Source organism: Homo sapiens, chromosome 18 (assembly GCF_000001405.40).
Source record: "Homo sapiens chromosome 18, GRCh38.p14 Primary Assembly".
In the NCBI taxonomy this organism is placed as follows: domain Eukaryota; kingdom Metazoa; phylum Chordata; class Mammalia; order Primates; family Hominidae; genus Homo; species Homo sapiens.
Window position 1 is genome coordinate 31,377,186 of NC_000018.10, and position 22,996 is coordinate 31,400,181.

The 22,996-nt window shown below is 36.5% G+C and overlaps 1 protein-coding gene and 1 long non-coding RNA gene across 3 annotated transcripts in view, besides 1 other annotated feature; one reads left to right on the forward strand and one right to left on the reverse strand.

Moving 5' to 3' along the window:
- DSG1-AS1 (DSG1 antisense RNA 1) overlaps positions 1-22,996 on the reverse strand; it is an 83,621-nt gene that overhangs the window by 33,818 nt on the left and 26,807 nt on the right. The gene's annotated exons all lie outside the window — the stretch shown is intronic.
- The window catches only part of DSG4 (desmoglein 4), a 38,133-nt gene that overhangs the window by 409 nt on the left and 14,728 nt on the right, over positions 1-22,996 (forward strand). For both annotated transcript variants that reach the window (NM_177986.5, NM_001134453.3), the window contains exons 2-9: positions 7,951-7,986; positions 9,503-9,634; positions 11,182-11,337; positions 11,689-11,833; positions 13,471-13,637; positions 13,893-14,027; positions 14,970-15,155; positions 22,087-22,358. In NM_177986.5, the coding sequence (NP_817123.1) occupies positions 7,951-7,986; positions 9,503-9,634; positions 11,182-11,337; positions 11,689-11,833; positions 13,471-13,637; positions 13,893-14,027; positions 14,970-15,155; positions 22,087-22,358 (1,229 nt within the window). The remainder of the gene's footprint in view (positions 1-7,950; positions 7,987-9,502; positions 9,635-11,181; positions 11,338-11,688; positions 11,834-13,470; positions 13,638-13,892; positions 14,028-14,969; positions 15,156-22,086; positions 22,359-22,996) is intronic.
- Positions 21,087-21,287: a silencer, noted in NCBI's record as "peak3094 fragment used in MPRA reporter construct". NCBI's record gives its function as "represses an SCP1 promoter by STARR-seq MPRAs in K562 erythroleukemia cells {active_cell/tissue: K562}" and the evidence as "EXISTENCE:reporter gene assay evidence [ECO:0000049][PMID:32103011]".

Below are 22,996 nucleotides of genomic sequence, written 5' to 3' on the forward strand. Positions count from 1 at the left end.
CAGAGACATAATCTACTTCACTTTGAGTGTTAGGACTATTCTAAAATTTTAAATTGGAAATAAAATTCATATTCTATGATCATATAAATAAATCAGATAGATTGCTGTGAAAACTGCCAGTGCAAATGGGTTCTAAATTTGAAGGGAAGTTAATCAAACCCATTTCTTTTCAATAGTTATTTCCCTATGAGTTTCTTTCAAAGTGGAGGAATGATAGCCATGTTGAAATTACATTGCAACTAATGATGACATACTAAAGTCATGAGAACTTTTTCCAGTCAGATATTGCTAAAGAAAAATGAAGCCCAGCCATCAAGACAAAACTTTTCTGGAATTATGAATGCATTCCTACAGACCAGCAAAGAAATATTTAAATGACTTATTTCTTTACAGTAAACATGGCATCTTGGATATTATATTTCTTTCCTCTAACCTTTGGGTGCCCAAGGTGTGACATGATTTCCAGACAGGCAGCATGCATAGCAAATATCCTACCCTAGAAAGAGATAATTCCAACTCCAAAGAAGAACAAAGTTCCAGTTGGCCAATCAACAAACTATTGCCAATTCTGGGAGGGTAAGAGGACAGGATTATTAGGAACTGTACAAATTTTTCAAAGTAAATTAAGACAAATGCATTATAGTTGGCCACACTTCAATCTCCCAGGAGTATCCAGGTTAGCGCTACAACCTAAGCTTAGAAAGTGATTCCCATCCTATTCTTAGGCAAGTGGCAATTATACCAGACTCCTCTGAACATCAGTTGTAAGAGACAGAGAGTAGCTAGGGCTGGGAGAGATGGGAGCACGTCATTGTCCAAGAGGCACAGTGAGAGCTACTCTTCTGGAATTCACATTTCTAAACTTCAAGAGCAGTGCGGGAGCCGAACACTGCCAAAGGGCACACAACCCCAAGCTCAAAAGGGAACGTGACAACAGTGGTAGAATATTGCATCCTCTGAGTTTAGGAGACAGATTATTAAACAATACCATTTTTGAAAAATATTTTTAAACTTAAAAACATAAGACGAAGGGCAATATTCTGTTACAATGATCATTATTTATTTACTAAATAAAATAAATGTTACTAAAAGAAGAGGCAAGAATCGGACTTGGTCTTCAATTGAAATAGTAAGTTATGAGGATATACCTCTTGTTACTCTTCTACCGAGTATATTCATGCTTTGACTCAGATAAACTTTTGGTTTTCTGTAAGGAAAATTGTATGTGTCAAGATTTTAGAGGCCACTTCTGAGCACTAAATCTTGCCTCCCATTGCCTTCTGCACAGGCATGATTTATGATAATATTATTTAATTGAAGAGTTGATTCTTCTCCTTGATCTTGAAAGAGTATTATACTTCAGACTCTCAGGATCTTTTTTTGGTAGTATTTATTTATTTTCCTTGGTAATACTAGCGTTTTTAATACTTAATTCCTCCTACTCCTCATTGATATTGAAGTCTTTGTGTTTGACATTTCACGGTAATTGTGAAAAAGTTCTTTAAGTATTTTTTTTCTTTATGCTTGTCTAAAAGATCCCTTACCATATCAATTAATAGTGTCTGGAATTGGGAGGTAGAGACTTCTGGCATATTTCAAAATTGAAACAAATACAAGAATTGTTTAAGGAGAATCAATGAGATGTTATAGATATTATAGGAAAGTAGACATGCCTACTTCTCTTTAATTTCCTGAACTTGAACTCTGCCCCTTCTTCATTAACTAAATCAAAGACTCTCTGGGGCATCATTGCAGCTTACACTAATGAGGGTGTGGCAGCCTCTCAGAGACTCACAGGTACTTTGTGTCAGCTACATCTCAACCGCAAAGAGCACTGTAAACAAAGTTCTGACTGGCTAACCAGCAAAAGGTACTCAAAACTCTAGATTACAATAGGGCACTGATTTTATCACGAGTCATTTGGCATTTTCTTCCTAAGGATGCTTATCATGTTCTTCTATAAAACAGACAGGGGTGGTGAGGGACATTCAACAGTGAATCGAGATTCAGAAGTCCCGGGTTTGAATTACAGCTCCTCTTCAAAGTGGCTGTGTAACTTTGGCAAAAGCACCCAACTTCTCAGGGCTTCCTTTGACCTCATGTGAGAATGTATGGTTAGACATGATGTTATTAAGTTGCTTCCACTGTAGAAACTGCAATTCTAAAATTATCTCCACTGAATACTTACATAGTAGAAGTTCATTTCTGGCTCATAAATAGTTTTCATAAATTTGGCTGGAGAATCTGAGGATTTAGGCAATTCTATGGATTGTATAAATTTTATAAGGAAGGAATCACTTACGGCAGGACAGTTATTAGCTGGAAGAGGCCTATATTATATCAAGTGGATAAGGTCATAAAAGACAACCATTTATCAGATAAGAATTTTTCTCTATGTGTGATGACCATTCATGCTACATATAAGATGTAAGCACTTCCATTAAATAGTCTAATTCTTGGAAGTTAAAAAGGTAGGTGGCTAAATATAGCTGTTATCTCATTGCAAGTTGAGAGCAGGCATCAAAATTTGAAAACATATTTAAAATTAACTTAGCCACTTATCAATTTAGTTCTCACATGCACTCAAATATGTTATTCTGAAACATGGAACAGAAATTTGTTTCTATTTACTTGTCAGGCAGATTTCCAGAAATATGACAGAGAGAAAAACACCTTATCCTATTTGGCTTGATATTTGTACTAAACAGAATACCCTAGATTGCTTTAAATGATTGGTTTCAGTACTGCTTATTACAGAAAGAATGTACTCATCACCGCAAAGGTTACATCGAAGCAAATCTCACCTCTATGATTGTTTTGTTGATATAAGTGGCTAAGGAATTACTAAATGTATTTTAAATCAGTGGATAAGTTTATATTTTTTGCCTTCAAATTCCTGCAGAGTCCATGGGGAGAACCTCATATAAAAAAAGCTTTATATCCCAAGAGATATCTAGTATTACCATGACCTATAACTTAGTATAGTTTTCTCAAGAATATCTACCTATTGACTTGTAGGATAAAAATCCTGCCCTAAAAAGATTTCATGGCCCTTGGGATTCTATGACCCTTTTCCTTTTTGAAAGATACTTTTTTTGTTGGGGACAGAGCTTCTGGATCCTGAGTACGTAGTCTGACTCTTTTCTAGTTCTTAAGTATCCAGGAAGGAGTTCCGTATAGAGCAATGAAACCGTTGTTTAAGCTGCAGTAATGTTTCCTTCCCTTCCCCAAGTGGGAGCACAGTTGGAATTCCTCACTCATGGAAAGCAGCTCTGACTACAGGGTGTGTGACAACAGTGCCTGGAGGGAAACCTTCAGACATAACTTGCATGAGAAATGTTTGCCCTTCTTTTCTACGCAGAAAATTACATGGCTTACAAACTAAGATGCCATTATTGATACACCTTCCATTATAAGCAAAAGTGGTATAATTAGGCTTGAACTTGGCAACTCTACCATAGACCTGGTGGGATAGTAACTGCTTTACTCAATTATTATTATAAGCGTTATTCAGGAAAGAACTGCTTATTAATAAGTTGGTCCTACATATGCGGATGACTTCCAAACTGACTACTTACTTCAAAAGGGTAAGTCATAGAGATGAAACAGTAGCCTTGTTCTGTAGCTACTACTTTAAATACACTCAGAATGTAAGAGAATAATATCTATTCCAGTATTGCAAGAAGCATATATTATATGCTTAGAGTCTACATATCTTATATAAAATCATCATGTTCTCTCTAGAAGTAAGGATTAAAAGAGAAAACAAGACCCAGAAAAATTTCTACAGTTTTCTAAAAGTTAGATGACAATAGAGTGTGGTGTATCCTGTTATTCCTCTCTGGAATACATACATTATTACAGGTCGAAACTTGTCTTGCACATAGAGAACAGTGTCTGTCACATGCTTTGTCAATGAAAATGTTTCAATGAATGAATGGATTTAGTTTCTAACTTATCTTTCTTACCAAGTCACTTAATCATATATTTCCCACCCACATGTTGATGAGCAACTTTAACATGGTCAGTGAGCTTTAAAAAGAGCTGGAGTGTTTCATATTGAGACGAGGTATTGGTTCTCTGAAGCTGCCAGCCACTACATTGCCATTCCAACACCTGACACTAACAAAACATTTCACAGTTAACAAAACCATTTGAAGAGATTACAAAAGTCTCGAAAGGTAAATTTTGCAAATTAAAAAAAAAAATGTTCATGGGATAAATTAGTCAGACAGCTCACAACTGGGACAGTCAGGATGTGAACCTAAAACTCTTCAACTCTGCCAGCATTGACTCCCTTCTCCCTTTGGACCAATGACCAACCCTATACATTCTTCCTTTACATTGCCTAATTCATCCCAATATCTTTTTTTATTTTCCTGCTTCCCTCCTGTTTTAACATGTCACTCTTTCTAGGCCTGTGTCTTACTCTTCATTTCTTTCTCAGAAATTAGCAGAGACATAAATTTTAGTTTCCTTTTTTTTCTTTTTTGAGTTGGAGTCTTGCAATGTTGCCCAGGCTGGAGTGCAATGGTGCGATCTCAGCTCACTGCAACGTCCCCCTCCCAGGTTCAGGCAATTCTCCTGCCTCAGCCTCACTGGTAGCTTGGGATTACAGGCACCCGCCACCACGCCCAGCTAATTTTTTTTTTTTTTTGTATTTTTAGTAGAGATGGGGTTTCACTATGTTGGCTAGGCTGGTCTCAAACTCCTAACCTCGTGATCTGCCCACATCAGCCTCCCAAAGTGCTGGGATTACAGGCATAAGCCACCACGCCCAGCCAAATAGTAGTATCTTAAGCATTTTTATATTTCCAGTAAAAGTCCTGTTCAAGTTTTTGCCATTAATGCAACCTATCAAAAGGACATCCAAAAATAAAGGCAGACAGGGAACCGTCATCAACCAGGCCCACAGAGACTGTAATACATTTAGGATACCACACATCTCTCCAGGTTATGTTTGCTCCCTCAACAGCACATGCCTCCAACTCCCTTTTCTAGTACTCTACCATCGTGATAACTGGCTCAGCCATTTCTATTCTGTGTGTGTGTCTTTTACTCGGGGCCTCAGGTCAAGCCACATCAGTGGATGATGCTTGGCCCACATATTGCTCTGAAAATGTGACTTTTGGGCTGGTCCAAAGGTAGTGAGTTATCTCAACTGATTGCTCACAGCCACTTGCAGGTCAAGCTCCTTGTTCTATTCTTTCCCCCCTGTCTCACTACTGCACTTGACTAGTCTTAAAAAAGAAAAATTTTTAAAAAGGCTTTTGTAGGCAAGGAATTTCCACCATTACCTAGGAGTCCATGACTACTTTTCACGGTCTAACTGAGGTTCATACAGTTATGTTGTGCACTTTAGGAGGCTGATGTCATTCCATGCTTCTTCCAAAACACTCATTAACAGGTGTTTCCTAGAAAGTGAGGGCTCCTGATGGGGCTTATGATTTCATAGGGCCTGGGAGTAATACCTGGCAAGTTCCTTCCGGGAGACCTGTACATAAAGTGACAGGATTTGGAGGGTTTGGCTTCTGTTACCCTCATCCTTAGAGCCAGCTGAGCAGGGAGCAGAAATACCACAAATATACTATGGAAGCCTCCATCAGCACAGCATAGGTTCTGCTAGATGAAAACCCTGGGTCCTAGTATTCCACTTCCCTGGCCTGAAAATAATGAAAAATAAAAAATTCAGGGACAGCAAAAGGATGAAAAGGGGCTTATACTCAAACATTCTCAGAGTTACTTCAGTTGAGCTGGGCTCTGTAGAAAGGATAAGACCAAGGTAAAATGAACTCAAAACTCCTCATCCGTTTAAACTACAGACAAGTCTGCTTGATGTGGCTACTTTCAAGTCCTTAAAAATGATTGGCTAGTACTTTTAGATGCCACGGGGCACTATGAATGCGCCCTTGAAAGCACAGAAGAAAACGCTTCTTTCTTTCTTCCTTCGTCTTTACAAATGTACTGAGCATTTGCTGTGCCTATCACTTCCACCTTGGTCATTCTATTTGGATCAGAGTCTGAAACAGGAAGAAGCCAGGGGATTTGTCCAAAGCCACACTACTCAGTTCTTGTGCCTGCCTGTCTCAAGAAATTTGTGATAAATCACATTGTTTTTATAAAGCCAAATTATAATTTAAGGCTACATATCCACTATGGACTGTAAATCAATGACTTCCAAATGTACACTTGATATCGGCTTAATTGTTCCTATAAGAGTCTTCAAATTGGGACACGTATTTTGCTGAATACATATTCCTTTAAAACTCTAGTTTTAAAACTCTAGCTTTATTCTAGTATATTCCTTTAAAACTCTAGTTTAAAACTAGAGTTTTTTATCTAGTTTTAAAACTCTAGTTTTATTCTAGCATATTCCTTTAAAACTCAAGTTTAAAATACTAGAGTTTTAAAACTAGAGTTTTAAAGGAATCATTTTCCAGATCCCCAGCTTCTGGTCTTTCCTCAAGTCAATCTACCTCAGCGTGCACCTGAACTTGAGGTATCAAGCTGGTTCTTCTCTCCCAAATCCCCCTTAAAAAGTCACACCTTTCAGCCATGGCAAACGTTATTCTGTTGCACTCTAATAGATTGTGAAATTATCTGGGGCACTAAACTAAGGAATAATGGAAAATATTGACGTCAATATTGAGAAAGAGAGTTAATTTCAAGGCACTTAACAAATCCTTTTGCAAGTCCTGCTTTTCAATTATTTGTTTTCAACAAAATTAAAAGAGGACCTAAAGGAGTTGTCAACTTATACATCATTAAAAATCATTTTGATGATAAATTGCCTTATAGATTTAGGTCATGTAATTCAGAATAAGTTTTAAGAATTTAATGACTCTGCTACCAGAAAAAAAATTCCAATGTCATCTATTAATATGAACAAGTTTTCCCAGTACTTACAACTGAAAGACAAAACCAGACAAAACAGAATTGGTTCTGAAGCTTGTTTAATTCTAATAATAAGTAATATTTATTTAAGAACTAATTTTTTTAAAATTTCATCCCTGTGTTTTCAATGCATTTCCAATAAAGTTTTACTTTTCATATTTAATTATATTGCATTGAAATTTCAATATTTGCATTTTGTTTGCTCAATTGTGATGCTAAGTATAATTGTAAAACTAATCTAATTCAGAGAAAAATGTTTGTTTACACTTAGAGCTTCACAATGATAGAAATTCCAATAAAATAAAATTTCTATTCATATGTATATTTCATTACAGACAAGTATGCTAGGCTGCTCAATAAAAACCTTAAAATACATTAAAATATGTGTGAAGCTTGAAAATATATTCCAGTAGGATGAACCTATGGAAGGGATAATTCATCAATAGAAATGTGGTATAAGAGTTCAAGGAGTAATAGGAGTAAAATAAATTCCAACTGACAAAGAACTTATTCATCTATTTTTCTAATGGATGAAACTGAGCATCAGGGCAACAGCATGTAGATTCTTGCATCTCCCACAGCTCCTCATACGTTCCCTTACCTTCCAGCAAAAATATTATTGACCGTTTCTGGAACATCCGCTGACTTAGAGCCTTTACAACTGTGTTCTTGTTTCACCCTGGGTGAAATGCTCTTCCTCATCAATTCCTCTTATCAAACTAGCTTCATTCTGCAGAGCCCTTTCAAATCCCTACTCTCCTAGGAAGTCCTCTTGAAATTCACTTGGATAACTTGAGTTTCCTTCTCTATCCTCCATTGAGCCCACTGAGGTATCCCAACCTGCTGTAGACTTATGTGTTTGTCTTCTCTAAAATGTAAATACTTTGGAGGGCAAAAAGTCTATTATTCATTTGTGTTAGCCATGTTTATTTCACATCATCAACAAAATGTATATTTAAAAATGAATTAATAAAAGAATATTGTCAATGTTTTTATGACATGGCTTCCTCTAAATTATGCAAATTTATGCTAATGTGGTATCTTCTATCAAAACAGGTGGTGATGGAAGTAAACAGTGAATTTATTGTTGAGGTAATGTAAAATAAAATTATTTTCTCAATTTAAAATTAAAACAAAAACTGAATTTTGTAATGTATTATATATAAAAATCAGAATATTTGAAATTGTAATTATCCAGGTAAAAGTTAAGAGAAAGAACTAGTGAACTGAAATAGCGATGGTAAAATCCATGCTCCCAAATCTCTATGCATTTAGGGCATGTGTTTGCAACAGCTTAGTGTCTTAGTAACTCCTGTTTATCAAACTATATGAGTAGTTTATTTATGTTTTCCAATCCACAGCAAAGCAAAAGCAGCAAAGTGACACTTTAGAGTGGGAAGAGACTGTTTAGACACATTAGACAGAAAGACAATTAATGGTTCATCAATGAGAAAAAGGACAAACATTCAAATTGTATAATCCCAACTAAATGGAAAACATATAATCTAGTGCCATTTAGAGTAGAACTCAGGAAATAGAGCTGCTGTCCTCTATCTCTGGCAGAGCTTTATTTTATTATAATAGTTAAATTTTCCTTATGATCCCCTCAAATCATTGGAAAAAATAAAGTTTTCTCATCTTTTTGGTGAAATAGGGAATAGGTGGTACATTTCAGTAAGTCGTATCAAAATGGAGAAATAATGTAAATACTCTGGTTGTAATATATGCTTCATTCAGTGGAACACCTCCTTCCCCCAAAGTGGTAATTAAATGAAGCTTAGCCTAAGTAAACTTATAATCACCTGTGTTTCAGGGGGTACATTAGGACTTACAAAAATAAATACGTGCATATATATAGTTTATGCATGTATACAAATAGGCTTGCACATGTAGTGACATTTCTAATCTCATTAATAGTATGAAATTCTTAAGTATACATCAATAGCAGCAACTTAAGGCTACGAAAGAAAAACCATATAGCAAGCACAGATACAAATGACAGCATTGCAAAGCCTTATAGGTGTCCATGGGATTATTGGAGGAATCATCAATTCCTCCAATATTAATAATATGTTTCTAATTCTGCAAAAATATACTTGGGTGCTTAGCCACAGTGGTGTCCTTATCAACAGAAGAGAAAAATGCTCTTCTCTCTTTTAGGTGAGCACGACTCACCAGCACAACTTTTATGTTATATGGGATGTGCATACATGGAACAATGATAATCTTTAAACTCTGCAGTCTGTAAATTCTGGTGAAAGCTCAATGAAGGGTGAGATAGGCAAGGCTCCTATATGGTGAAGATAGATTGAGAAAAGGAAAACTGCACAACTTATACAGTATGGCACATCATGAGCTCCTCAAGTAGCTAATTAAATTTGTTTCACTAGAATCAAATAATTGGAACCAAGATGATTCCAAAAGAAGTGGCAGCCAGGGGTAACCAAGCTATCTATCTATCCAGAGTTGTGAATTGGTGAAAACATTCTCTGTTCTTCAAATTCAATATCACTGTTTCTTCTAAATGCACCTTACAATATTAAATAAATGTCCTTTCTAAGTAAAATTGTTCTCACACTGTAAGACACCTGAACCATTTTTGCTTAAGGTGAAGGAATTTGACATTGAAAATGGCACTACAAAATGGCAAACAGTCAGAAGACAAAAGCGGGAGTGGATCAAGTTTGCCGCAGCCTGTCGAGAAGGAGAGGACAACTCGAAGAGGAACCCCATTGCCAAAGTAAGTGATGAAGCAATCTGATGACAAATGCTTTTGCAGAGCAGGGAAGCTTTCAAATATCTCCAAGATTTGCAGGCTTCACTGCTCCACAGTTATTTAAGAAGACAGAATGTGGTCATTTGCTCCAGTTGCTGAGCCACTGATTTGAATATCATGTGCAGGGAGGCTGACGTGGGGCAGGCAGTCAATGGCAAGTGATTCTAGAAGAAAGGGCTGGATCTCCAGCACAACTGGGCTTTGTTCATCCATTTGTGTACTGCTCATTATTGCCTGTCAATGTCATAGGAAACGTATTCACATAGTGACAGTCTGAAGCCTGGCCCTCCAGAAAGTCAAGCCAAGTTTACTGCACTAGATGAATTAACTCCAGGAAAGTAAGGATAGTATCAAAAGTTCCCACCAGATCTCTACATCCAGAAAATAAGAGAGTCTTATAAGACTTTCACAAATAATGCCTACTGAAAAGGAAGGAGAGTTAAAGAATGTGTAATAAATTGATCCAGGAAGGATGGGATCCACATTAATAGCTTCATTCACTCTTTCTGGACATCTTGATCCTGAACAGTAAAGTGATCTGCAGAATTCCCTCCTTCCAGCTTTATATTAAAAACATAGTAAGCATCAGCAGTGGTGTTACAGATACAACCTCAGCTCAAGAAAACAGATGTATTCTCTCTCAGATGTTTTCAAATTGGAGGGACGCTTTTAAATTATTATTTCCATTCAACTCAGTAATTGCTTTATGTTATTCCACTTATATTGCATATTCTTTTCTTTTTCTCTGCATTTTGGGAGGTTCTTGAGTTTTCTTCTATGTAAAAAGGGCCTTTGGATTAGAGTTAAGCTAACCAAAGTTCTATTTCCAGCAGTCTTTATTTGACTGTGAATGTGTGGGTAAAAAATCTTACTATTTTACTGAATGCTCTTATCGTTAGTATATAGGTGAGATTTCAAAATTGTTTCAGTTTAAATTTATCAGCAATAGGTAATAAAGCTACTAAAGCAAAATCTGTGTGGCAGAATATTTGCCATAAAATCTATTTGGCAGAAAAGTGATGCAGTATGTTTACATTTATAAAATTATTACAAATATCTCTAACCATTATAGTTTTCTGATATTCTCAACTTATCTACCATTTTGACTAAATCTCAGACTCCAGCTTAGGTAGGATACTTATTAATATGACACAAGTTATTTTTAAAAAATAGTAAATGTTGTAATTTCTTTTGTGAAGCTATTTCTGCGTATGCTAAAAAATCAGAGAATTGAACAATGTGTTATTAACAACAAACCTAGCACCAAGTGTGTATGTTATACACATTACCTCATGTAATTCCCACAACAAATCTGTGTGATATTATCCCCACTGTAAGCTGATCTGGGCAAAGTTAAGTAAATTTTCCAGGGTCACACAGGACTAAGTCATGGTGTCAGGTTTCAATCCAAAGCCCATTTGGTAAAGAAACCCACTCCCTTCTTATTCCACTACACTCTTAAGCATTATCTGCTCTAAACTGGATCACAATCCTAGCTATTTTTCTTATAGATTCGATCAGACTGCGAATCGAACCAGAAGATAACATACCGGATTTCTGGAGTAGGGATTGATCGACCACCATATGGGGTATTCACCATTAATCCTCGCACTGGGGAAATTAACATCACTTCAGTGGTAGACAGAGAAATAACTCCACTTTTCTTGGTAAGTCATAGCCATATGTTTTGATTTGTTCATATTAGTTTTCTTCCCTTTTTCAAAAAATATTATCTTAAGATAATGGATTACTTTTGATAAAACATGGCAGACTGAACCCAAATAGAAGACTTGAAGGAATGGAAAGAGTGTGAAAATAAAAGTTTATAGTTCAGGATTCTCTGGTATGTTGCATGTACATGTAGTCAAGTGTCCTGATCATATTTAAATTATTTGACTGTACTACAGTCTGAATTCACTGGAAAAAATTGTTTCTTTGCCTATTTTCTGATATATTTTCAAGCATGTTACTAAAATTCCTTTGGTGGAAAAAGATGGCTTTTTTCCAATTTTCCACAGATCTATTGCCGGGCTCTGAATTCACGGGGTGAAGATTTAGAAAGGCCTCTTGAGCTTAGAGTCAAAGTTATGGACATAAATGATAACGCTCCAGTCTTTTCGCAAAGTGTATACACAGCCAGCATTGAAGAAAATAGTGATGCCAGTAAGTAGAATGACATTCCTTCTCTACGTCACAGCATATCTACTTCTCTTGGTCAAAAGCTTTAGAGGACTGACATACAGGAAATGTAAAGGACAGAAAAAGCCACACTTGTATTTTGAATAAACCCCACATATTTTAATTTATAACTGAGCTAGAAAAAGAAATCATGTCTAAAATGATAAAATAAAATATCTTCTTACTTGCGGAAGGTCCCTACAGGGATTTAGCAGGTGCTTAGCACCTTGCTTAAAGATTGCTACTGGGCTCATGAAGAACTAAATCCAAGCGAGCAAACTGAGGAATAAACCAGGAATGTTTAAGAAGGCTCTGTTCTGGTCTCTTACTCAAAATGTTTGGCTGACCCACACCAGGTAGAGCGTGATGGTGGAAGCACACGCAATTGTACCCATCAGATCAATCACTAAGGGTAATCATTGATCTTCACAGACTACATAGCAAACTACATTCTATTCTCTCATTTTCTTTCATTTCTTTCCATTCCACTTAATTCCATTTCCAGTTCTAATACCCTCTGTCTTTCCTTTATATTAATTCTCCTGAACTTCTTTCCTTCCTACTCTTATGCTTTTCTTATATGGCTACTTTCCTATCTCTCCTCTCCCTTTGCCTTCTGACCTTGATTTTACATACAGCACATGAATATCAGTTTGTTCCCCAAACCCCTGTTGTCCCTTTCCCTTTCAAATCTATGTCTGCCCATATACCTCTAAACAAATTTGGGGGGAAATAATAGGAAAAATAAATTTCAGGAAAAAAGGCAGATAAACACAAAATTTTTTTTTGAACTAGGATAGTCCTCCCATAGAGAGGCAAAGAGATTTTGCCTAGGAGAGCCAACACAAAGAGAGACTCCGAAGTCCATCTTTGCTTCCTCATCAACACACCTCAAAACAACACTGGTGAAGGAAGAGAAGGTGAAACCCACAACCAAGTCTCCCTGCCTAGGAAGCAAAAGAACATCAGGGACCTGACAATTCTGAAAAGTCTGTCCTGTAGATTGACATCCTTGGGGATTTGCCTAAGATACCTGTTCTTTCTACCTATGAGTAATTAGGAACTTCTTATATTGCTATGGACAAGTCTTCTTTTCAATAATTATAAATTTGTGACTGTTTGGTAAAATGCTATCTTCCAATGCAACCAAGAGTAATTATCTGCTTTCTGGAAAAGTGGCAATTAAGAATATAGGTGTTCAATACATAATTATAATGTTGCATTTAATTAAACTATAATTTTCCTTAATTAAGCATTTTTAAATGATTTCACAAGACCATGGCAAAAAATAAAACAGATAAAAATCTGTTTATTCAGCTATATGATAAAGAATCTATTGAACTTCTTTTTCGTACTTTAAAGAGAACTATGTTTAGCCACTAATTTAGTATTTAATCATTTAAGGAGTGCAAGTACTTTTAAAACAGTAAAGGGTTTTATAAAGCAAACCACATTTTTTTTAATCACTGGTAGAGCTGAAAGTTATGGTACTATATTCCCATGGAAAACTCAAACAGAGAGAATTCAGGAGAAGGCCAACCACTCTGTCTTCTTATGCCTAATGATTTGCTGAATTTATTCTAAGAGTCCCAACCATTCTCCACCTCCATTTCTATTTCTAGATACATTGGTAGTAAAGTTATGTGCCACAGATGCAGATGAAGAAAATCATCTGAATTCTAAAATTGCCTACAAGATCGTCTCTCAGGAGCCATCAGGTGCACCCATGTTCATTCTGAATAGGTACACTGGAGAAGTCTGCACCATGTCCAGTTTCTTGGACAGAGAGGTAAAGCCTTCTGTGAATGAACAAGAACTAAAAAATTCAATTTTGAAAAGACAAAGATAAAATGATCCATGTGTACCCTTACTCCAATATAAAGGAGGGAAGAAAAATAATCCATTTTTAATAAAAATTAAAAGCTCAATTATATAAATTTCATTGGATATGTAAATAAAAGAGTAGAGAAATAATGGCATTGAATGCATTGGATTCTATTCAAGACAAAACCTAAGTCTTACGTTCTTTTTCATCTTGATTAAGCAACACAGTATGTACAACCTGGTTGTGAGAGGCTCAGATCGGGATGGAGCTGCAGATGGACTGTCTTCTGAGTGTGACTGTAGAATCAAGGTTTTAGACGTCAACGATAATTTCCCCACCTTAGAGAAAACTTCAGTAAGTTTGTATTCTTATCTTCCTTTTTCCATAAGTGTCAATAATCAATTTGCATAAGTGTCAATAATCAATCATGCTGGCTCATGAGCCTGGTTCTGTCCTATGTGTGGACATACTCAACTTTGTTATAGAAACTTTGGAATTTCTTATGTATACTAATATACCTTCAAATTGTATGTTTGTCTTTGACTCACTACTCCAAACAAGCCTTCTCTGTGAAAGCAACGAACTATCTATTCTGTATACTCTATTCACAGAAACACAGAAATCTGTTGATCTAACTCTGGGAATAACATAGCAACATTAATGTTTTTGTATATGCCTCATGATTTGCTGAATGAATTCTACTAGAGTCCCAGACAGTCTCAACTTCCATTTTCATCTCTAAGCATAAAGAAGCATAAAATCCACACTAGCAGGGCCAAATCTGGCTTGCTGTCTGTTTCGGTTTAAAAAAAAAAACAAAAAAACAAAACAAAAAACGTGTTATTGGAGAGCATAGCTGTCCTCATGCCTTTACATATTGTCTATGGGGGCTTTGTGCTGCAACAGCAGACGTGAGGGGTTGCAACACCAATTCTCTGGCCCACAATATCTAATATATTTACTATTCAGCCCTTTACAGAAAAAAATCTGGTCCTCTATCTAAAAGAAAAGAATAAATAAAGAAAATTAACAATAAGCAAAAATAAATAAATAAATAAAAGAGAAAGGAACAAAGTGCTAATTTGACCTTGATTTTACATACAGCACATGAATGTCAGTTTTATTATCTTATAATCATTTTATTCTTATTCTCCTGATTGGACTATGGGCATTTAATAATGGTGCAAAAATCATCGACATAGTTTGTTGTTAGTATTTTAAATAATAATAATGTGTTTTAAGTACGTTTCTTCTTTTGAAAATTCATTGACTACAAAATTGATCCTTGCATTTTAGTACTCAGCCAGTATTGAAGAGAATTGTTTAAGTTCGGAACTGATACGATTACAAGCAATTGATCTTGATGAAGAAGGCACTGATAACTGGTTGGCTCAATATTTAATTCTCTCTGGAAATGATGGGAATTGGTTCGATATTCAAACAGATCCACAAACCAATGAAGGCATTTTGAAAGTTGTCAAGGTACAGTATAAGGATCTGCAATATTTTCTTCCAAAATATTTTATTCCAAAGAAGTTTTAAATGACCTTAGAGACAGAATCTGCCTTTAAAAAAAAGTACTTCATAACTTTGAATATTGTTTATATCAAGGGTCCTAAGTAACTGCTATGTCAGTCTGAGTCTCCTAGCTAGCAACACAAAACTTATTACCAAGAAAAATATGAAGACTGTTTTGTTCTGACAGTGTCCAATATCTAGTTGTGAAGATAAGGTAAGCAACCCCAAATTAGAAGATATATGGGAGTTCACAGTGCAATAAATAATACAGATGTCATGATATAAAACATAATTAATTGCCAAGGGAGTGGAATATGAAATAATGAAAGAGATAAGAAATGGTGAGATCCTTCTGAGCTAGATTTGTCTGAAAAGATTTCATGCAGGAAATAAGGCTTAAGCAAGATGTTATAGCTAAGATTGCTAATGTGGGTAATAAAATAAACAAACACAGAGTGAGAAAACATGAAGCAAGTTCAGGGCATGGTGAGCAACCCCGTGGGGCTGTAGTGGGGCATCAAGTAGGGAAGTAATCAGAAGTCAGATCAGAGAAGTGAAGCTGAAATCGATCTGCTGAGAACCTTGCATACTGAAATACCGGCTTTGATTTTTTTCTATAGATTAATTTTTCTTTAATTACTTGCTTTTAATTCACAGACAATGATAAAACTGAAAAATTTATAATTAGAAACGAATAAAACCACAAACCAATAAGATTCAGATTAACATTACTGTAATGAGGGAAATTGTTATTTTTTAACAAAGGAAATTGCTGCTAACAACATAAACAACACTTATAGCCAGGAAAATATATATTAAGACATATATGTACACACATATTTTTAGCTTACTACACAGTGTGATTGTGGAATTTACAGTGTGATTATTCAGTTCTGTTACTATTTTTCTCTATTCAAGCACATAAGGCTCTTTTTGTGTTACCATAAAGTAATAGCTGAGACTGGGTAATTTATAAAGAAAAGAGGTTCAGTTGAATCACCATTTTGCAGGCCATACAGGAAGCAAAGTGCCAACATGTCCTTCCAGTGAGGGCCTCAGGAATCTTACAATCATTGTGGAAGGCAAAGGGGGAGCCAGTGCATCACATGACAAGGGCAGTAGCAGAAGAGAGAAGGGGGAGGTCCTAGACTCCTGTAAACAACCAGATCTCGCAAAAACTCATTTATCACCAAGGCTATGGTGGTAAACCATTCGTGAGGGATCTGCCCGATCACCCCTCACCAGGCCCCACCTCCAACTTTGGGAATCACATTTAAAGATGAGATTTGTGGGTGACAGACATCCAAACCATATCATCAAGTTACTGTGAAGTTTTTTCAGATAGCATATTAGGAAGCCATTTAGCCTTCTGGAAGCAAACATATCGTTTATTCATTGGGTCTTTCGCTTTTCTTTCTCAAGTATCTGAGCAATTTTAGTATTACTACTTTACCACCAAAGCACAACCATACACACTGAAATCATATGGTATATTAACTTAAGAGCTGGCCACCAAAATTATGAAAAATATTTATATATAAGATTGTCATCCAAATGAATACACACAATTTTATAATTTCTTAAGTGAACACAAGGACTCAAAGAGTATATCATGGACTTTCTGTTTGGAAAACATTGCTTTGGGCCAGAGGTCAGCAAACTATGATCCAGAGGTCCTCACCTGTCCCCTGTTTCATAAATAGTTTTATTGGAATACAACCACATACATTCATTTACGTATTTTCTGTGGCTGTTTCCACACTCAAGTTGCTGATATGAATACTTGAGATAGAAACTCTGTATGATATGACCCCTAAAACCTAGAACATTTACTATCTGGCCCTTAACCAAAAGTTTTTCAATTCCTACTTATAGACCAAGGAAAGCTTTGGGATATTTTCTAAAATAACAATAACACCGGCCTGGCAAAGTGGCTCACGTCTGTAATCCCAGCACTTTGGGAGGCCAAGGCGGGCAGATCACCTGAAGTCGGGAGTTTGAGACCAGCCTGACCAACATGGAGAAACCCCATCTCTACTAAAAATACAAAATTAGCCAGGTGTGGTGACACATGTCTGTAATCCCAACTACTCGGGAGGCTGAGGCAGGAGAATCGCTTGAACCCGGGAGGCGGAGGTTGCAGTGAGCTGAGATTGTGCCATTGCACTCCAGCCTCGGCAACAAAAGTGAAACTTAACAACATGAGTTCAACTCTGAAAAGACCACAGTTATAAAAATTATTATGATATTAATTAAGTTCTGAGGTACTAAGCATCTGATCTAAGGCAATGGCAGTAAAAATGGAAAAAAAAAAAAAAAGGAATGGGTATAGGAGACATTGCCAAATACAATACAAAGAGGAATAGAGGAACAAGAGGTCACCTCCCACCATATCAAATTCTGAATATTTAGTCAAGTTTTTCTTCCAGGGATCAGAATTTGTTAAACCTTGCATCCTGGTTAAAAATCAAGAGCTAGACATAACATGCAATTCTTACCTATGTTCTTATCATCTTAGTGACTAACTTTGTATATTATCTCATAATATGTAACTGCTCTTTGCTTTTGTTCTGTCTCCCAACCTACTAAAATAATAGAAGAATTTTGTGCATAAAGAACCTGATCTAAATATCTTTCTACCCCCAGCACCTGGTCCAGTGTCCAAAAGATAGTAGAGACTCACAAAATTTGAGAATAGTATTGATGATACTATTTACCTGAAACTAATGGCATAGATATCATCCAAACAGAAGTCACTGGACTTGATTGCATCATTCGTAACTTCTGCATACAATTATAAATATGAAAAAAATTAACAATGCAGGCAATGTACTATCTGACTTATGTAATGTGCCTTCTGTGATAACAACTTTTTTAAAGATATACTTAATTGCTAAAAAAAAAAAAAAGCTATTGAAATATCAATTTCATGAAAAATTTGTCAAGGTAATTTGGATGCTGTATATACAAAGCCCTATCTATTTTTTTCTGAATGATAACTTTCCAAATCTCTTAAAAAGAGTAAGAAAAAATGTGCTTAAAAATACCAAAGTAATGGAGAAAGGCTAATTAAAATGAAATTTTAAACCTTGATGTTTGTATTACTACCTAGCCAAAAGAACTATTTTAGAGAACATAAGCGTAATTTTCCCATGTTTGACATTTTCAACAGCTGGTGGTCAGCCTCTCATTCCAGATACATCTGGAATGAGGTTACTAATGTCCTCTTACACCTTCTCCATTTTCATTCGGGATACCCCTTAACCCTGAGGAAACTGGACTTTTGACTAAGCTTTATATAACCCTTCTCTTAGTCTGAGGAAATTACAAAGACTCAATTCAAAGGATTTAAGGTGGCTCGTGCCTGTAATCCCAGCACTTTGGGAGGCCAAGGCGGGAGGGTCACTTGAGTCCAGGAGTTCGAGACCAGCCTGGACAACGGGGTGAAACCAAGTCTCTAGCGAAAGATGGGTGTGGGGCGGTCACCTGTAATTCCAGTTACTTGGGAGGGCTGAGGCATGAAAATCACTTGAACGCGGACCAGGGAGGCAGAAGAAAAATAAGGATTTATTGAGAATTGCTATGTGTTAAGGACATGAAGGCAAATAAGATATGGTCCCTGTTCTCAAGGAATTTACAGTTTAACAAGAGAAAGATCTCAGAAAAATGAAAGTCTCTCTGTCAATAACAGCCTCTCCTTGGTATTTATTGATAAGTGTATATGAAAACGCAAGCAATAAAAAAGTGTGTGTGTATATATATATACATATTTGACTTCAACACTGAGAAAAAAGCAAAGCAAAATGCTACCCAATTGGAATTCTAACAAAAAAATTGATTCTCTATTTTTATAATAATTCTAACATTTATTAAGCAATTACTAAACACCAACTATTCTGTTATAAGGTGTATCCAGAGGGTTCACATATATTATCTCATTTAATCCTCACAACTCTCGGAAGAAAATAGGGTCATTGCTTTTTTTTTTTTTTTTTTTTTTTTTTTGAGACAGAGTCTCACTCTGTCACTCAGGCTGGAGTGCAGTGGTGTGATCATTGCAACTCCTCCTCCCAAGTTCAAGCAATTTCACGCATCAGCCTCCGGAGTAGCTGGGATTACAGGCATGCGCCACCACACCCGGCTAATGTTTGTATTTTCAGTAGAGACGGGGTTTCACCATTGCTGGCCAGGCTGGTCTCAAACTCCTGACCTCAAGTGATCTGCCCACCTCAGCTTCGCACAGTGCTGGGATTACATGTGTGAGCCACCGCACCCAGCCAGTAATTCCATTTTTAGAGAAAGTGAAACAAAATTGAAGAAGACAAATAGCTAGTCTCAATTTACCCAGGTGGTGAATGGCAAAGACAAGAACCAACTGGAACTTTCTGGTCCCAAAGTCATATTTAACTGCCACCTTCGTGTCTCACTGCGTAATTGGGGGCCAGTAAAACCGATTTTAGGAAAGAACTAGCATGCCGAGACTTTTCTTCCAAGTCTGTGTACCACTATAAACTCCTTCCCAGCTGTGTGTGCCCTGCTTCTCTCTTCCAGACACATTTGTACCAGGAAATGAGCCTTCCTGGAAACAGAACATACACACTCAGGCAGATATTTGACCATTTCCCCAGTCCCCTGCTGTTGAAAAACTGCTATCACATTCTCTTTTGGATGGAGACTTCTAACTTTCTCCCTTTTTCATACTTAATTCTAAAATGAATCAGTGTCCCCACTAGAATTAGCAGTGTCATATTAAATTAGAACAAAAAAATTGGATGTGAGAATCTAAGCGTAGCTTCTATACTACAATTTACAGCAGCCAAAAGCCTGCCAGAAGCCAAATACATTTCTGGATGTGTTATCTTCATCCTGAGCCCTTCCAGAGCCTCACTCCTGGTCACTGCAGGTCAAACCCCCAGCCACTCTAACACACGCCTGTGTACCTTGTTAAGTGGTTATTCCTCATTTGTTCCTTAAACTGCAGAGACTGAGTTTCCCCAGCCTCTCCCTTTACTTTATGAAGAGACTCCAGAGTAAACCATTGTTTCCATTGCTCTTTACAATCCTTGACCTCTGGACACAATCAGAAAATCCTGACTAAAGGGCCCCACTTGCGAAGAATGAGTAAACAATTTTATGCCTTTCCTCTATTTGGCTTTCCTCCAAGAGGAAAGGTTGACCCCAGAACAATTTCCTGTTCCTAGATTATGTGAAGATCTTTAATTATACAACTTTAGACACATGTTGGTATATTTTCATCACACTCTGTTCAATGGGGAGAGAACTATTAATATTCTTACAAGCAAAAGTGCATTTGTGTATATACATAAGAAAAGCACAAGAGATTTCTCTATCAGAATAGAGGTTATCAGGCCGGGCACAGGGGCTCATGCCTGTAATCCCAGCTCTTTGAGAGGCCAAGGCAGGTGGATCACCCAAGGTCAGGAGTTCAAGACCAGCCTGGCCAACAGGCAAAACCCCCGTCTCTACTAAAAATGTAAAAATTAGCCCGGTGTGGTGGCGCATGCTTATAGTCCCAGCTACTTGGGAGGCTGAGGCAGGAGAATTGCTTGAATCCAGGAGGCAGAGGTTGCAATGAGCTGAGATTGTGCCACTGCACTCCAGCCTGAGCGACAGAATGAGACCCTGTCTCAAAAAAAAAAAAAAAAAAAAAAACTTGAGGTTCTCGATTTTTCATTTATTTGAAGATAGCATGGAATTCTATTAAATAAAAAAATGATTTGTAGAAGAAAGATCTCTTCCAATTGAAAAGTGATTTTTGAGTACATAATTTATATTCAGTTCTGTGCTAAGTATCATGTGGGGTGGTCTATTACGTGGACCAGTGGACTAGGTATTATGTGGATCTGTAAACAGATGTGCAAAAGGAATCAAAATCTCAAACCTCAAGGGTTTTGGCTGAAATTCAAGCACGGCATGCTGAGCCATCTCCAAAGAAGAACCCAAGTAAATTTCTGTGAATGTTTTTCTTATCAGCTCTTCTAAAAAGATGTAACTCTAAAACCTAAGGAAACATTCATGATGTCAGGGAGTTTCCCTGAGAAGCAGAGATTTACCTCACAGAGTTCTGCTGATGGCAAGCCTTGCTGATATCTTGACTTCTGCTGTTGGAAATGCATTGCAAGTGATGCTTAGCTTCCAGAACCCTTCTAAGCAGACATTGTTCAGCAATTCTTTCTTTGCAACTACTTTTTCATTGTGACTTTTCATGTCACCACATCAATCATTCTGGATCAAAAGATTCTATTTTTTATCCAGAATACCCATTTCAAAGGTGACTTTTCTCTGGGCATGGCATTTACTTATTTGAATATGCCCCATAAAGGAGTCTTCCTGTCCACCAGACCCGGCGACTATAATCATCATAAATTCTTTGTAAGTTGTGTACACCATTAAAAAAAAATTACGTGTTCAGTGACATCATATATATTAGCACCTTTATTCTGCTGATTATACTTTCAAAAGATTCTCAGATGTGAGTTCTATAAAGGAAATCTGGGTACTATTTATTTATTCATTCAATAGTGTGAACAGTTTTTATTTTATTCTAAAGCTTTTTTTCATAAACACCTCATTTGGAAAATAATCGTTTTTCATTTCAGCATTTTTGTATAAAAAGTCCAAAACTCCAAAATTTTATTCCAATTTAAAATCACAGCCTTAAATAATCTACATAGCTGATTATGCTAAAAGATGAACAGAAAAACATATCTAAGATACCTAATGCAGTAATAAGTAAAATTTTTTTCAATTCAAAATCTAAACAGCGTATCTCCTGGACCTTATTCTAGTGTGTGGTTTGCTTTACCATGGCTTCTTACTTTATCGAAAGAGAGTTCTTTGCTGTTTCAGAGTTTTTTATTTTCTTTCATTTCAGATGCTGGATTATGAACAAGCACCTAACATTCAGCTTAGTATCGGAGTTAAAAACCAAGCTGATTTTCACTACTCCGTTGCTTCTCAATTCCAAATGCACCCAACCCCTGTGAGAATTCAAGTTGTTGATGTGAGAGAAGGACCTGCATTTCATCCAAGTACTATGGCTTTTAGTGTGCGGGAAGGAATAAAAGGAAGTTCCTTATTGAATTATGTGCTTGGCACATATACAGCCATAGATTTGGACACAGGAAACCCTGCAACAGATGTCAGGTACTGCAACTATTTTCTTCATGTTCTATGGTTCTATCCAGTGTTAATTCATGTAGCATGCGCTAATATATGTTGGTTGTAATACTTTTGGAGGGCTTTTTTGCTTTTATTATTCCTTTGATTTAAAAGACTATTAGAGCATTTGAAATCTTAGAATTTTAAGTGTTTTAGAGGCTTCAATAATGTAAGGGCTCCAACTAGTTATAAAAGTAATTGTGTCCAGTGAGTAATTGTAAGATCAAAGAGCCTCCTAAATTACTCCATAAGTCTTTTTGATCTTTTGTGGCCAGTTTGTTCTACCCTGGACCGGGGCTGATTAAGCCATATTGTGGGCAATAAGTCACCATAAAAGTTGAGTCACTGCTTGTTTTCTTAAACCTGTGTTACTATGACTTAGAGACTAATTTCAATCCTCTGCTTAATCTAAGAGAAAAACCACAATCATAGAAGCGAAAAACAGTGTTTTAGAAAATTGATAGGCATAGGGAGAGTCAGAAGAGGAGAAATAAAAAGATAGTATTGGGGCACTAGGTACCTAGATTATATGTGAATTAGAACAGTGTAAAATATTCTGGAAATAACCACAGTGAAGTACACAGATCTTCTCTATATCCTGCCCTTCTCTATCTCCTTTTCTT